Source organism: Homo sapiens, chromosome 3 (assembly GCF_000001405.40).
Source record: "Homo sapiens chromosome 3, GRCh38.p14 Primary Assembly".
In the NCBI taxonomy this organism is placed as follows: Eukaryota; Metazoa; Chordata; class Mammalia; order Primates; family Hominidae; genus Homo; species Homo sapiens.
Window position 1 is genome coordinate 5,020,419 of NC_000003.12, and position 16,387 is coordinate 5,036,805.

Consider the following 16,387-nt stretch of genomic DNA (forward strand, 5'->3'; position numbering starts at 1 on the left):
CCAGCATCTGGAAGAAGCCTGACTCTCCCTTTGGAGTGCCAGTTCCTCTTGATTTCTAGTTCCGACATGTCCAAAATGGAAGGTGCTTATCTCCAAACCCCATGGCTCAGCCTGGCGCTCACTTCCCTCGCCTTTCATCAGGGCTTGGGCAGGCTCCCCAAGTAGGCAGGAGGGGGTGAAACAAAGGTCAGGTGAGGGCTGAAGCCAAAACAGTGTGGAGAGAAAAGGGTGCCCCTGCCACTGCCCCACCTCAGTCAGAGCTGGCACATGAGTTAAACAGATTAGGAAAACTTCACGCAGAGACTGATGGGTACAGAGGCATGAATTGGAGTGGGAGGAATCCCAAGTACCTTGGTTTCCCCCTTCCCAGTGAGCTAGAACATGATCTTGGTCAAGCCGGAGTGCTGATGTAGGGGCCATGGCCGGGGGTTCCTCTAGGGGTGGCAGTCATGCTTATGAGGGTGAGTGCTTTAAAAATGACTAGAGCCCCAGTGTTTATCCTGTTATGATTCAGAAATACCACCTTGGACCAGGTAAGGACTTCAAAAAGAGGGGGAAAAAATGGGCCGGGTGCAGTGGCTCAAGCCTGTAATCCCACCACTTTGGGAGGCTGAGGCGGGCATATCATTTGAGGTCAGGAGTTCAAGACCAGCCTGGCCAACATGGTGAAACCCTGTCTCTACTAAAAATACAAAAATTAGCCAGTCACGGTGGAGGGCGCCTGTAATCCCAGCTGTTCGGGAGGCTGAGGCAGGAGAATCGCTTGAACATGGGAAGTGGAGGTTGCAGTGAGCTGAGATCGCGCCACTGCACTACAGCCTGGATGACGGAGTGAGTCCCTGTCCAAAAAAAAAGGGCAGGTGGGGGGAAGAAAGAGAAGGAAAAAAAGGAAGGAAGGAAAGAAAGAAGGAAGGAAGGGAAGGAAGGAAGGAGAAAGCTAGGACCTTTTGAAGTGCCCAAAGAAAGAAAAAGATGGAGGAAAGTAAGAAAAGAAGTGAGTGGAAGAACGGATGAAGGGAACTAGATTGATTGCATAGCTAATATGTTGTGGGCGTTTCACTGTTTCAGTATTTTTCCTTTTCCTCCTCTTCTGCCACTTTCTTCTTCTCCATGTCATGTCCATTTTTCAGGCATGGAGAGGGAAGGTCAGAGAGGCTGCCTTGAGTCAGAGCACCCTGGGTTGGAGTGTCCCTAGCTAGCTTAGTGACCTTGAGGAGGTCACTTAATCTGTCTGATCTTCAGCTTCCTCATCTATAAGAAGGAGAAAATAACTCTTTTGCAGAGCTGTGGAGTAACGAGATTAATATATGTAACACCTAGCACATGCCGAGCGCTCAAAACATGCTAGTTACCCGCACGGTTACTTTTAAGTAAGTTGCCCAAGGCCACACAGCTAATGAAGAGCCGACATTTTGACTCAGGCCTGTTGAGTCCAGAGCGCTCGTATTCCACCACATCAGACTGACTCACTAGGTAGTGACAAATCAGGAAAGTGCCACATAAACTATAAACCCTCTCTCCCACAGGCATACATTTGCACAGAGGGAGTGACACCCATTGTTTTTGCCTGCCCAGCAACCATTCCTTTTTATTCTGGAAACATCATCTTATGGCTTTAACACCATCTCCAGGTCTAGGGAGGAATATGTGACTCAAGCCAGGCTGGCCAGGGTTAATCCTGATATTTTTGTTGAGAAGAAAGATCTCTTTCTAATGAGGTTGTTAAGCTCACAAAAGGTAAGACTAGAGCTACTGGGACAATTCCTTGTCATCTTATAGGCAGGCAGAGCTGAAAGATTAAAAAAACAACAAATCTCTAACACTAGCATTTGGGCACCTGGAAACAGCTATGCCTGAAGCCATCAGCTGGATCTTTTTTTTCCCCCTGTAGCTAATTTGAATCCAGTTTCTGTCTTGCAACTAAGAGTCCTCACTGACTAATTTGAGGCTTGCCTGATACCGAGGCTCATGTACCTTAAACCATCCCAGATTGACTCAACAGTATAGAGCCTAAAGAGAAAAAAGGAAAAACAAATAAAGCAAATACTTTCTCTTTCTCATTTCCTTTCATCTTATATAGATATGGTACCTCTGCTAACAATTGCTGGATGAGTGTACAAACATGTCCAAGACAATCCCTTCACATTACTACTTGTTAATGATCTCATTACCTGCATAAACATCATGATTCTTTGTGTCAGTATCATAGTTGTCCGTATCAAACCTGTGTCAATTCCATGAAAATATATCAAGCTCCATTTCTGGTGCCCCTTTGAGAAAACTAGAGTTGGTGAGACATAAGTAAGAATATACATTTTTCTTTTTCTTTTTTTTTTTTTTGAGATGGAGTTTCCCTTTTGTCACCCACGCTGGAGTATAGTGGCACAATCTCGGCTCACTGCAACCTCTGCCTCCTGGGTTCAAGCGATTCTCCTGCTTCAGCCTCCTGAGTATCTGGGATTACAGGCCTGTGCCACCACACCTGGCTAATTTTGTATTTTTAGCAGAGACAGGGTTTCACCATGTTGGCCAGGCTGGTCTCGAACTCTTGACCTCAAGTGACCCACCCACTTTGGCCTCCCAAAGTGCTGGGATTACAGGCGTGAGGCACTGTGCCCGCCCGAGAATCTGTGTTTTTCACTCATAGTTTGGGATTGTTCTTGCAGCTGAATACCTCTGAAATAATAATCAATGAATATTTCATTCAATAAATATTTACTATCCTCTTCCGTGTGCCAGTCTCCTAAGTTGTCTTAGGATAATAATTATTATCCTAAATCATCCCATTACTTCTTAGATATTTAGCATTCCAACAAACAGAAAACGAGCTCTCTCCTCTCCCTTCCCAAGGGTTTATGTCTTTCATCTCCTCCTTGGCTATCCAGGTTTCGACCTCGGAGTTGGCTTTAGCTGCTGGAGCCTTCCTGAACCCATCTGTTGGGATATTGAGTCACTGAGTCATAAAGAGGAATGTTTCTCACTAAACATCACACCAGAACAGATAGACTTCCAGCTGAGCCAGCTGGTGACCTGGCCGCCCCTGAGTGGAGAAAATGGGAGACGTGGGAGTTGGAAGGCACACCACGCAGACGGTCACCTCATGGTGACGTCACCTGCCAAACCGGTGACTCACCTCCCAATTCTCCCCTCTACCAGCCATATCTTGCTCACTTGGAATACCTGAGGGGAATACCAGCCTCCTGTGTTTAGTGAAAACACACGCTCGTGAGCTATTTTTTAAAGGCATGATGTTTTCTTGCTTTCAAGTGCAGGCCTGGGTTAAGACTGCTTCTGCTTTAATAAGTACCCAGGAGTCTGCTTTTAAAGAAAGACTTGGATAAGCATGGGGATTGCTATGTGGGTTACCTTTTTTTTCTTAAAATTTTTCATTGTAGTAAAATATGCATAACACATAATTTACCATTTTAACTTTTTTTTTTTTGGAGACAGAATTTCCTCTGTTACTGAAGCTAGAGTGCAGTGGTGTGATCACCGTTCATCGCAGCCTCACCCTCTAGGGCTCAATCAATCCTCCCACCTCAGCCTCCCACGAAGCTGGGACTACAGGCATGTGCCCCGACACCCAGCTAATTTTTTTTATTTTTTGGAGAGATGGGGTTTCACTATGCTGCTCAGGCTGGTCTCAAACTCCTGGGCTCAAGCGATCCACCCATGTCAGCCTCCCAAAATCCTGGGACTACAGGCGTGAGCCACCTTTTAACCATTTTTAAGTGCACAATTCAGAGGCATTAAGTACATTCACAACGTTGTGCAACCATCACTACCCATTCCTAGAGCTTGTTCAGCATCCCTTCAATTCATCACCAATTAAATTGTTCATTGAATTCTAATCAAACGAGAACTCCCCACTCCTCTCTCCCTCCAGCCCCCGGTACCTCTACTCTACTTCTGTATGTATAAATTTGTCTAGTCTAGGTGTTCCATATAAGTGGAATCATACAATACCGTCCTTTTGTGTCTGACTTATTTTACTTGGCATCATGTCTTCAACATTCATCATATTGTAGCACTTACCAGAATTTCATTCCTTTTTAAGGCTGAATAATATTTCATTGTATGTACATACTAGATTTAGTTTATCCATTCATTTATTGTTTTCACATCTCAGCTATTGTGGGTAGTTTACTTTCGAGTCCCTAAAGATCATTTGTTCTCTTTACTAGTTAGAAATTCTTCTTTAGAAAGATTCTCAGAGTTCACCTGTAGACTGGGACTAAGATGACCAGTTCTAACTACTTCTCAGGGGTATTGTGAAGATAAAGTTAACTCCTGGGTAGGAAAATGCTTTATAAATACTAAAATGTGTCTACGGTCATACTATCCTGAATGCACCCTATCTCGTCTAAATTCTAAAACGCCCCACAAAAATATTTTTACTTTGTTTGTACTATTTGCTTAGCTTTTCCCCGCAAGCAGAAAAAAAAAAAAAAAAAAAGAGAGAACACGACCCTAGGCTCCTTTCAAATTATAATAAAATCTAGACGGAAATGGTCCAAATGAATGAGGTTTTCCTGGGATGTTTGTATACACTGCAGTCTCTCCATTCTTTCCAAAGCCGAGTACAAGTGCATTAAGTGCTTACATGGACCAGGACGCTATTCTGCTCATTACTGAGCATTAATTTACAGCTCTGGGACATGGACAAGTTACTTCGCCTCTGTGCCTCGGTCTCTTCATCTGCAATGTAGGGACCAAAGTGATAGAACTGACCTCATAGGGTTGTTGTATCAAATGAGGTAATAATGGTAGTGGCTTTGGCACAGCGTTTGGCATACAGTAGGCCTCAATGCTAGTTGCATTGCTGTTATTATGTGTTTCTTATTTGGAATTACTTTTATCCTCATCTCACATTTTTAACACATAATTCAAGATTAAATGCATGGTCTTAAAAATGCACTAAAAAAGCATCAATTCCAAAGAAAAAGGGCCATGTCTGTCATGTTAATTGATGTTTTGCAAGGCTGCCTGGTAATGGTACAGACTTCTAGTTTAGGACTCAGATTTGATTTTACTTCCCAGCTGGTCTCACATTAACTGGGTATTCTACTCTGTAAAATGGGGATAACACCTACCTCATAAGGTTGTGTTGAAGCCACAAGTTCATGCCCGTGCAGCTTTGCAAGGCTTAATACGTGCTGGCTAGCGCTGTTATTATCCGTCTCTCTTCACCTGGCACGCTCGGGGTACTCAGGAAATACTTGCCAAAAGTAATTAAAACAAACATTGCAGCCGGGTGTGGTGGGTCGCACCTGTAATCCCAGCACTATTCGAGGACAAGGCGGGCGGGTCACTTGAGGTCAGGAGTTCGAGACCAGCCTGGCCAACATGGTGAAACATTGTCTCTATTAAAAATACAAAAAAAAAAAAAAAATTAGCTGAGCGTGGTGGTATGCACCTGTAATACCAGCTACTGGAGAGGCTGGGACAAGAGAATGGATTGAACCAGGGAGGCGGAGGTTGCAGTGAGCCAAGATCGAGACACGGCACTGCAGCCTGAGTGACAAATCAAGACTCTGTCTCAAACAACAACAAATAAACAAAATAAAAAAATATATATATTGCTTCACTGATAGTGGACGGGCCATTGACTCTTAAGAGGTTCGTGAGACCCTGATCTATGGCAAGAAAGGTAAGAAAAAACGCAACCCAACCCAACCCAAACCAAACCAAATCACAGAGGCTTGAAAAGTCAGCTCTCCCAGTGACAGGCTATCCTAGGGCTCTTCTCTGGGCTTTAGTTTTCTCTGGCTTGTTTCTAACACCCTCAGGCGAGTGTGCTTTGAAAACCTGACAATCAGGTACAATATGGAAGGTGGGCCACCGGGTGCCTTCAGGGCAGAATCCAGGACCTGTAGTGGGTGGCCTAGTGTCCTGGGGCCTGCACCCTAGAGCCAGTGGCTTCCTGAGTGGGCCGTGCCCCGGGTCACTTCCCGGGGGCGGGTTAGCCTCACTGAGGCGGCCGGGATGCTCTTGGTCTCCTAGACAACAGTGTGTGACCGAGGAGATGCAGTAAACGAGAGGTGTCATCCTGCGAAACCAACCCACCCCCCCCCGCCCCCTCACAGCCGGGCCCCGGCCGCAGGAAGTGGAATTCTTCTGGGAAAGAGACTGACGTCGCCGGTGGCCGTGGTCCCTGCCCCTGCCCTGGCAGGCGCTGATGCAAGCGCCGGCTCGCGCCTGCAGGCAGGCGGTCCCCGGGGAGCTGGCGCCGCGCTCTCTCCGTCTTGCTCCCTTCCGGCCACCCCCGCCCGGCCTTCCCTGTGAGAAGTCAACGGCTCCTGGGTGGTTTCCCACCGAAAGGCCCAGCGCGGGGTGTGGGGGGAGGGGCTGAAGTGTCTTTGCCCAAACCCGTTCTTCTTTCTCCCCAGCTCCTCCCAGACTGGGTTTGGGAGAATCCCAGCATCTCAACCTGGCCACGTGTCTGGGTCTATATGAAGGGCTCTCGGTGCCTCCAGCCCCCTCCCTGGGACAGCCTGGGTGGCCTGAGATACCTGGTGCCAGCGCTGCCAAGGAAACCGTCTGGACCACTAGGGAACCTTGGGTCTGGATGGGGAGGCGGTGAAGAGCCTCTGGGGTGGAAGTGGTCCAGCCAAGGCTGGTCTCCATCGCCTTCTGCTGGCAAAAGGAAGAGTTGCTCTGAAATCCCTCCTGGAACCTCCCAGAGGCTTGGGAGGGGTGGGGGCGGGGCGCGGCCTGGAATGTTAGAGGCCGCCCTTTTCTTTTTTTTTCTGAGACGGAGTCTCGCCCTGTCGCCCAGGCTGGAGTGCGGTGGCGCGATCTCGGCTCACTGCAACCTCCGCCTCCCGGGTTCCCGCCATTCTCCCGCCTCAGCCTCCCGAGTAGCTGGGACTACAGGCGCCCAACACCACGCCCTGCTAATTTTTTTTTTTTTTTGTATTTTTAATAGAGACGGGGTTTCACCATGTTAGCGAGGATGGTCTTGATCTCCTGACCTCATGATCCGCCAGCCCCGGCCTCCCAAAGTGTTGGGACTGCAGGCGTGAGCCACCGCGCCCGGCCAGAGGCCACTCTTTTCATAAAGCAGACCGGGAAACTGAGGTTCAGAGAGGGCAGGGTACCTGTCCATAGTCCCTCAGCTATTCTAAGACCAAGTCACGACCGGAATTCGCACTGAAGCTCACCGTACAATTTCCATGCTTTTGTTTTGTTTTGTTTTTGAGATGGAGTTTCGCTCTTGTTGCCCAGTCTGGAGTGCGGTGGCCCAATCTCAGCTCACTGCAACCTCCGCTTCCAGGGTTCAAGCGATTCTCCTGCCTCAGCCTCCCGAGTAGCTGGGGCTTCAGAAGTGGGCCACCATGCCCGGCTAATTTTTGTATTTTTAGTAGAGACAGGGTTTCACCATGTTGGCCAGACTGGCCTTGAGCTGACCTCAAGCGATCCGCCCGCCTTGGCCTCCCAAAGTACTGGGATTACAGGTGTGAACCACCGCACCCAGCAACAACCTCCATGCTTTTTAAAGCCGGAAGTCTTCACATAGTTGACGACTCCTCTCTGAGGCCTTGCGCTCCTGTGAGCCCTTTCTCCATCACTGCATCCCAGCAGCAGTTCCAAGTGTGGTTCCAGACCCCAAGTCTTTCAGGGAGTATGTGAAGTCAAAACTAGTTTCCTAACAATACTAAGAGGATATTTGCCTTTTTCACTCTTTCTCTTCCATGTGCACGGTGGAGTTTTCCAGAGACCACACGACATGCAACGCTACAATAGACGGACTGCAGAAGCAGCTCTGAGAAGCCAGCTGTCTTCTATTAAGGAAGACACTAAAGAGATTTGCAAAAATTGAAACCATGCATTCTACTCACTCATCTTTTATTGTTGTTCGTTTTAGAAAATACAGCTATTTTCATAAAACATATATAAATATATAATGGGTTTATTATTTTTAAATGAACTACAAATAATTTAAAAATGGAATACAAATAATTTTAAAATAATTATTAAAAAATAATTACAAAATAATTTTTAAATAATTGAACTACAAATAATTAAAATTTTTGTTTGTTTTCTGAGACAGAGTCTTGCTCTGTCACCCAGGCTTGAGTGCAGTGGCGCGATCTCGGCTCACTGCAACCTCCACCTCCCGGGTTCAAGCAATTCTCCTGCCTCAGCCTCCCAAGTAGCTGGGACTACAGGCATGCAGTACCACATCGGGCTAATTTTCGTATTTTTAGTAGACATGGGGTTTCACCATGTTGGCCAGGCTGGTCTCAAATTCCTGACCTCAAGTGATCTGCCCGCCTTGGCCCCTGCAAAGTGCTGGGATTATACGTGTGAGCCACCACGCCTCGCCTAAAAATAGTTTTGTTTTTTTTTTTTAAAGAATGTAAATGGTCCTGAGACCACAAAATTTCAGAGCAGCTGTTCTATGTAAAGTGCCTCCTCACAATCACTGCAATATCACCTTCTTGTATTTTATTTTATTTTTTTTAGACGGAGTCTCACTCTGTTGCCCAGGCTGGAGTGCAGTGACATGATCTTGGCTCACTGCAACCTCCGCCTCCTAGGTTCCAGCAATTCTCCTGTCTCAGCCTTCCGAGTAGCTGGGAGGCGTGTGCCACCACACCTGGCTAATTTTTGTATTTTTAGTGGAGACGAAGTTTCACCGTGTTGGCCAGGCTGGTCTCGAACTCCTGACCTCTGGTGATCTACCCCCCCCCCCCCAGCCTCCCAAAGTGCTAGGGTTGCAGGTGTGAGCCACTGTGTCCGGCTGTCCCTTTTTTATTTACTTCACAGTTCTTTTCACCAAAGACATTACTTTGTTTTCCTTCCGTCCGTCCTTCCTTCCTTCCTCCCTTCCTTCCTTCCTTTTTTTTTTCTTTTTCTTGAGACCAGGTTTTGCTGTGTTGCCCAGGCAGCTCTTGAGCTCCTGGGCTCAAGCATTCCTCCTGCCTCAGCCTCCCCAAAGTGCCGGGATTATAGGCGTGAGCCACCATACCTGGTCGACCTTGTTTTACTTTGAATGTGCTTATGAATCAATTGGGGATCCTTTTAAAGTGCAGATTTGTATTCCATAGATCTGAGGCAGGGCTGAGACTGTATTTCTAACAAGTTCTCAAATGATGCTGATGCTGCTGGTCTGGAAACCACACCTGGAGAACGCCTGCTCTAGACTTTCCCCTGTCCTTTGAGATGGTGCTTGCCTGAGACCTCTCAGGTGAAAGCAAATCAGATGGCTGTTCAATGTCAGCAATGAGGGAGAAAATTTATGCAATTAGGACCAGTTCCTCTCTGCTGGGACTAAGGATCACTGAAAGAAATTGAGGGTCAGCTAATTTGCAAAGTGGGAGAGGCAGAAAAAAATGGTGTCAGGCCCTAAGAGAAATTGGAGCTGGCTTTGAAAATACGCATTGAGTTTCAAACAGCAAACAAAAAAGCAATTCCTTTAACAAGCATTAAATTAGATATGCTAGGGGCTACATTGCTGAAAGTTACTCAGAAGACAGGTATTATGCTTATTCAGCTATAATTCTGGAATCAGCTAGAATCATCCCCAAATCTCAAAGCATGGTAGATAGTTGAATGGTGGGAATTTCAGTTTTCATAAAGAAACCTTTACTGGGGGTGGGGGCAGGATTTCTAAATATGCCATATAACATTTATGCAGTGAGGTGGAAAATATATTTAAAACCAAACTCTTTGTAACTGCATCTGCAATCTAAATTGGGGTGGTAGTATAATTTACGTCAGTGGAAAAATGAATCTCTATACTGGGTCTTTCCACTTATGAAAGGGAAGAAAGAAGACTGACATTGTAAAACCTCTGCTTTTGGGGTTACATTGCCAAACAAGGGATTACAATCTCAAAAGCTTCCAGCAGCTAGAGTGGTCACACAAACAAGAGAGGCTGGTGGGTTCTGGAGAAGAAGAAGGCCAAGCTATCTTGCCTGGCCAAAGTGGGCAGCCATTACTCAGCTACTCAACTTTAACTTGTTGCCGCCATTTTGATTGAACACACTCAGTTGTTGACTCTTCCCATTTTTTGAGAGACGCATGGAACGAGGGTTATATGTGAAATGTATCCTTTTCTTTGGTTTGTTTTGTTTTTAAACGTCAGAAAGAAAATCAGGCTGAGCGCAGTGGCTCATGTCTGTAATCCAAGCACTTTGGGAGGCCAAAACGGGTGGGTGGATTGCTTGAGTCCAGGCGTTCAAGACAACCAGCCTGAGCAATATAGGGAGACTCCCATCTTTCCAGAAAAAAAAGAAAGCCGGGCGTGGTGGCTGACGCCTGTAATCCCAGCACTTTGGGAGGCCGAGGCAGGTGGATCACCTGAGGTCAGGAGTTCAAGACAAGCCTGGTCAACATGATGAAACCCCATCTCTGCTAAAAATATAAAAATTAGCCGGGCGTGATGGCACGTGCCTGTAATCCCAGCTATTCAGGAGGCTGAGGCAGGAGTATTGCTTGAACCTGGGAGATGGAGGTTGCAGTGAGCCGAGATCGTGCCATTGCACTCCAGCCTGGGCGACAGAGTGAGACTAGGTCTCAAAAAAAAAGAGAAGAAAGAAGGGAGGAAAGAAGGGAGGAAGGAAGGGAGGGAGGGAGGGAGGGAGGAGAGAGAAAGGGAGAAAAGAAAGAGAGAGAGGGAGGGAAGGAAGGGAGAAAAGAAAGAGAGAGAGGGAGGGAGGGAAGGAAGGAAGAAAAGAAAAGAGGCCAAGTGTGGTGGCTCACGCCTGTAATCCCAGCACTTTGGGACACTGCAGTGGGCAGATCACCTGAGGAGACCAGCCTGGCCAACATGGTGAAACCCCGTCTTTACTGAAAATACAAAAAAAATTAGCCGGGTGTGGTGGAGCATCCCTGTAGTCCCAGCTACTTGGGAGGCTGAGGCAGGAGAATTGCTTGAACCTGGAAGGTGGAGGTTGCAGTGAGCAGAAATCTCGCCAATGCACTCCAGCCTGGGCGACAGAGCAATACTCCATCAAAAAAAGGAAGGAAGGAGGGAGGGAGGGAGGGAGGGAGGGAGGGAGGGAAGGCAGGCAGGAAGGAAGGGGGTAATTAGACACACACACACACACACACACACACACACACACACACACACACACACACACTTTGTGCTGGGACAAACAAAGCCTAATCTCCCAAATTCTGAGATCAAAGGGTGGGAACAGAGTTAGGTGAGCCTTTCTTTAGCTAAGCACTGCTCGCTGACGTTCTCCAAGGCATGTCATTCCTGAGGAGGGTGTAGGAAAGTAAAATGCTTTGTCTAATCAAAAGAGAGATTTGAGTATTTTTGTGCAAAAGGAGCAGCCCAAAGTGAGATGAATCTAGAGAAATAGAGGAGCAGAAAAATGTGAGGGAGAGAAAGGAGAGTCAAGGAACTTGGAAGGAGGCTGGGGCCTGAAGAAGAAAGGGGCTAGTAGATCATTCCTAGTTAAAAATTGTGTGTGGGGGCCAGGTGCGATGGTTCATGCCTGTAATCCCAGCACTTTGGGAGGCCCAGGTGGGTGGATCACCTGAGGTCAGGAGTTTGAGACCAGCCTGATCAACATGGTGAAACCCCGTCTCTACCAAATATAAAAAATTAGCTGGGCGTGGCGGAGCATGCCTGTAATCCCAGCTACTTGGGAGGCTGAGGCAGGAGAATCGCTTGAACGCTGGAGGCGGGGGTGGCAGTGAGCCAAGATCATGCCATTGCACTCCAGCCTGGGCAACAAAATTGAAACTGTCTCAAAAAAAAAAAATTGTGTGTGTGCGTGGGGAAGGCAGGGTTAGGAGTTGGGCCTGTGTTAGGTGAAAGAGATTTGGGGGTTTAGGGGTGGAGACTGAAGGGAAGGAACTGTGTTGCACCATTTCCATGTTAGAGCTGAGCAGACAGAAGTTACCAACTTCAGTGAGGTGGCTCATGCCTGTAATCCTGACACTTTGGGAGGCTGAGGCAGGAGGATCACCTTAGCCCAGGAGTTTGACACCAGCTTGGACAAGCATAGCGAGACCCTGTCTCTAAAAAAACTAAAAAAAAAAAATTATCTGGGTGTGGTGGCTCATGCCTATAGTTTTAAATCCTCAGGAGGCTGAGGTGAGAGGATCACTTGAGCCCAGGAGGTTGAGGCTTCAGTGAGTTGTGATCATGCTAGTGCATGCCAGCGTGCATGACAGAGTGAGACCCTGTCTCTAAATAAATAAATAAAAATTAAAAATTAAAGAAAAAAGTTATCAGCTGCCTGAGATGAGATGCAGTTGAGATAAAATGGTGGGAACAGGACAGGCCTGGTGACTGAAAGAACACCAAATCCCAGGAACTTCCAGCTGAGGGACTTCGCTGAGGAGGTAAGTAGGGGCCTTCAGTCATTTCTGTGTTTCAAAGAGTAGGCAAGACTCCACCCTTGGTAAAGGGCCCTGAGCCGTTACCTTACTCAGGGTCAGCTCCTGGTGCCACTGTTCACCTTATCTACCATTTGAGTGAAGTCATTTAGCATCCCTGGGCCCCAGCTTCCTTTTAAAATGGGTAATAATGACATCTGTGTCACCTTCCCTCCAGGGTTCCTGTGAGGCATAATTGGGGTATTAAATGAGAAATGCTTTGTAAAATGGAGAGCTCCAGATAAATGGGAGGTATCAGTTAACAGTTCATATTCAATTGATCTGAATGACAGCACCAGTATAATAATAACCTACAGCCGGCACTCCATACGAAGCACTTACTGTGTGTTATCTGACTGAAACGTTACAACCTTGACGGAATATTGCTGTCCTGATTACACACGGAAGAAAACGGAGATTCAGAGAGATAAAGTAACTTGCCCATGGTTACTTGGCTAGCAACTGGTAGAACCAGCCATGAATGACTCTTTTATTCTTAACCACTTTGTGTCATGTTATTTTAATAATCATTCTTAACATTATGCTAGCCTGCATCTTGAAGAATATATAATATGGCTGGATGCAGTGGCTCACACCTGTAATTCCAACACTTTGAGAGGCTGAGGTAGGAGGATCTTGAGCCTAGGAGTTCAATTCCAGCCTGGGCGACATAGCAAAACCCCATCTTTACAAAAAATACAAAAATTGGCCGGGTGCGGTGGCTTATGCCTGTAATCCCAGCACTTTGGGAGGCCGAGGCAGGCGGATCACGCGGTCAGGAGATCGAGACCATCCTGGCTAACGTGGTGAAAGCCTGTCTCTACTAAAAATACAAAAAAATTAGCCGGGCGTGTTGGCAGGTGCCTGTAGTCCCATCTACTGGTAGTCCCAGCTACTCAGGAGGCTGAGGCAGGAGAATGGTGTGAACCCGGGAGGCGGAGCTTGCAGTGAGCCGAGATCACGCCACTGCACTCCAGCCTGGGCGACAGAGCCAGACTCCATGTCAAAAAAAAAAAAAAAAAAAATACAAAAATTAGCTGAATGTGGTGGTGCGAACCTGTGCTCGCAATTACTAGAGAGGCTGAGGTGGGAGGATCAATTAAGCCTAGGAGGTCGAGGCTGCAGTGAGCTGTGATCACACCACCACACTCCAGCCTGGGTGACAGAGCAAGATCCTATCTCATACACACACACACACACACACACGGACACAAACACACATATATATTATGGGTACGGTGGCTCATGACCATAATCCCAACACTTTGGGAGGCTGAGGCAGGAGGATCACTTGAGCCTAGGAGTTCAAAACCAGCCTGAGCAATATGGTGAGACCCCCATCTCTACAAAAAAATAAAAATAAGTTAACCAGACATGGTGGCATGCACTGTAGTCCCACTCTGGAGGCTGAGGTGGGAGGATTTCTTCAGCCCAGGAGGTCAAGGTGGCAGTGAGCCGTGGATCATGCCCCTGAACACCAGCCTGGGTGAAAAAGTGGGACCCCGTCTCAAAAAAAAAAAAAAAAAATATATATATATGTATATATATAATATGTTAGTATATACTGGTAGTGGTGGTAGTGGTTCTTCACTAAGATTTTAAAATATCATTTTGGGCTGGGTGCAGTGGCTCACGCCTATAATCCTAACACTTTGGGAAGCTGAGGCGGGTGGATCAGCAGAGGTCAGGAGTTCAAAACCAGCCTGGCCAACATGGGGAAACCCCATCTCTACTAAAAAAAATACAAAAAAATGCCGGGTGCGGTGGCTCACACCTGTAATCCCAGCACTTTGGGAGGCCGAGGCGGGTGGATCACAAGGTCAGGAGTTCGAGATCAGCCTGGCCAACATGGGGAAACCCCATCTCTACTAAAAATACAAAAATTAGCCAGTGTGGTGGTATGCGCCTGTAATCCCAGCTACTTGGGAGGCTGAGGCAGGAGAATCGCTTGAACCCAGGAGGCACAGAGGTTGCAGTGAGCTGAGAACGTGCCATTGCACTCTAGCCTGGACAACAGAGTGAGACTCCATCTCAAAAAAAAAAAAAAAAATTAGCCGGGCATGGTGGTAGTCGCCTGTAATGCAAGCTACTTGGGAGGCTGAGGAGGGGAGGATCACTTGAACCCGGGATGTGGAGGTTGCAGTGAGCTGAGATTTCACCATTGCACTCTACCCTATGTGACAGAGCAAGACTTGGTCTTGAAAAACAAAAACAAAAACAAAAACAAAAAAAACCCATCATTTTGGTCTTTCATTTGAAATCTCTCTAGTAAATACCTATTATGTGCTATGTATTTGGAACACCTCCATGAGCAAAAGACACAGGGTCTCTTGCCCTCATGGAACATACAGGGTAACAATAGAAAAAAGGTATTAAACAATTACAATACTGGGTGCCAAAGGGGAGGTACTTTGGGTTCAAGGAGGAAAGGACACCTTAGCTGAGGCCTAAAGAATCAAGGAAGGGTGGGAGAGTGTTCCAGGCAGATGAAATAAATAGCAATGAGAAGGCCAGGAAGCAGAGCATGCATGAGGCGATGGAGGAAATGAAAGTAATACCCTGTGGTCCACTTTGGAGGGTGGGGTGGGCAGTGGTGAGAAATGACACTGGGGAGGGGGTCTGGGACTAGACTGCACAGTGGCCTTGTGAGTCATGTTGTCATATATAAATATATAACATATATTTTATATATAATTTATATATTTTAGTTATGCATTAATATTTATCATATGTAATTTTATATGTGTATGTATTACCTATAATATGTATAAATGTATGTATACATGTGTATCTATGTAATTTTTCCTTAGAAACGAAACCAGTTTGAGCCCCACTAAAAAAAATTAAAAATAATTTAAAAAAACCTAAACCATAATCACGCATAATACTGTTTCTTTTCTTTTTTTTTATACTTTAAGTTCTAGGGTACCTATGCACAACGCGCAGGTTTGTTACATATGTATACATGTGCCATGTTGGTGTGCTGAATCATGCATAATACTGTTTCTTAATCCTTATTGAGATAAAATTGACATACAACAGATGACGTGCATTGAAAGTCTACAATTTGATGAGTTTTGACATTTGCATGCACCTGGGAAACCATCACCACAATCAAAGAACAGAGAACTCCATCAACCTCAAAATTTACTCATGCTGGGTTGGGCACAGTGGCTCATGCCTGTAATCTCAGTACATTGGGAGGCTGAGGTGAGAATTGCTTTAGCCCAGGAGTTCGAGACCAGCCTGGGCAATATAGCGAGACCCTGCCTCTACAAAAAATACAAAAATTAGGCAGGCGTCGTGGTGCACACCTGTAGTCCCAGCTACTCAGGAGGCTGAGGTGGGAGGATTGCCTGAGCCCAGGAGGTCGAGGCTGCAGTGAGCCTTAATAGCTCCACTGCACTCCAGCTTGGTTGAGAGTGAGACTTGGTCTCAAAAAAAAAAAAAAGTTTACTCATGCTTTTGTGACACCTCACTCCTGGCCCTCTCAGTCCCCTGGCAACCATCCTTCTGTTTTCTGTTGCGTTTTCTAGAATTTTGTAAATCGAATGTATCATGTATATGAAATCATATAATCTGTACACTTTTAAAACGTAGCTTCTTTCCCTCACATAACTACGGCGAGAGTCATCTGTGTCACTGCACATGTCAAAGGTTTGTTCCTTTTCGTTGCTGTAGTATCCTGCACTGTTTTGAAACCTGTTTTGTTCCTTAATATATCAAGATAGCTGGGATCTAGGTCAAACTGCCAAAGTTGAAATATCAGTCATGCTGTTTATAAGTGGGTGAGTTTGGGCAAGAAACCTCGATATGTTACCCAGTTTCCCTTGAGCTTAATGGCCATGTCTGTAAAATGGGCTAACAGTAATAGTCACAAGGGAGGCAGGTTGTGTGAGATGATGTATATGCCTGTGTATAGCAATTGCTCAATAAAAGTTATCAAGAATATGATTGCTATTACTACTATTACAATTCACACCTGGAGCATTTTAAGAAAACATCAGACACAGTCGTGGAACATGGATGTGCCCCTGAGTGT

At 46.3% G+C, this 16,387-nt stretch overlaps 4 annotated features.

The window, feature by feature from the left end:
• Positions 1,411-1,609: a transcriptional cis regulatory region, noted in NCBI's record as "candidate enhancer chr3.91 targeted for multiplex CRISPR interferenc". NCBI's record gives its function as "positively regulates BHLHE40 gene expression with high confidence in K562 cells {active_cell/tissue: K562}" and the evidence as "EXISTENCE:mutant phenotype evidence [ECO:0000015][PMID:30612741]".
• Positions 2,302-3,501: an enhancer, noted in NCBI's record as "P300/CBP strongly-dependent group 1 enhancer chr3:5064405-5065604 (GRCh37/hg19 assembly coordinates)". NCBI's record gives its function as "activates an origin of replication core promoter dependent on BRD2, BRD4, P300/CBP, MED14 and CDK7 cofactors, with strong dependence on P300/CBP, by STARR-seq in HCT116 cells {active_cell/tissue: HCT116}" and the evidence as "EXISTENCE:reporter gene assay evidence [ECO:0000049][PMID:35650434]".
• Positions 2,949-3,318: an enhancer, noted in NCBI's record as "active region_19374". NCBI's record gives its function as "activates an Ori minimal core promoter by ATAC-STARR-seq in GM12878 lymphoblastoid cells {active_cell/tissue: GM12878}" and the evidence as "EXISTENCE:reporter gene assay evidence [ECO:0000049][PMID:35858748]".
• Positions 11,230-11,731: an enhancer, noted in NCBI's record as "H3K4me1 hESC enhancer chr3:5073333-5073834 (GRCh37/hg19 assembly coordinates)". NCBI's record gives its function as "activates a minimal SCP1, AML or CMV promoter by ChIP-STARR-seq in naive H9 embryonic stem cells {active_cell/tissue: H9 hESC(naive)}" and the evidence as "EXISTENCE:reporter gene assay evidence [ECO:0000049][PMID:30033119]".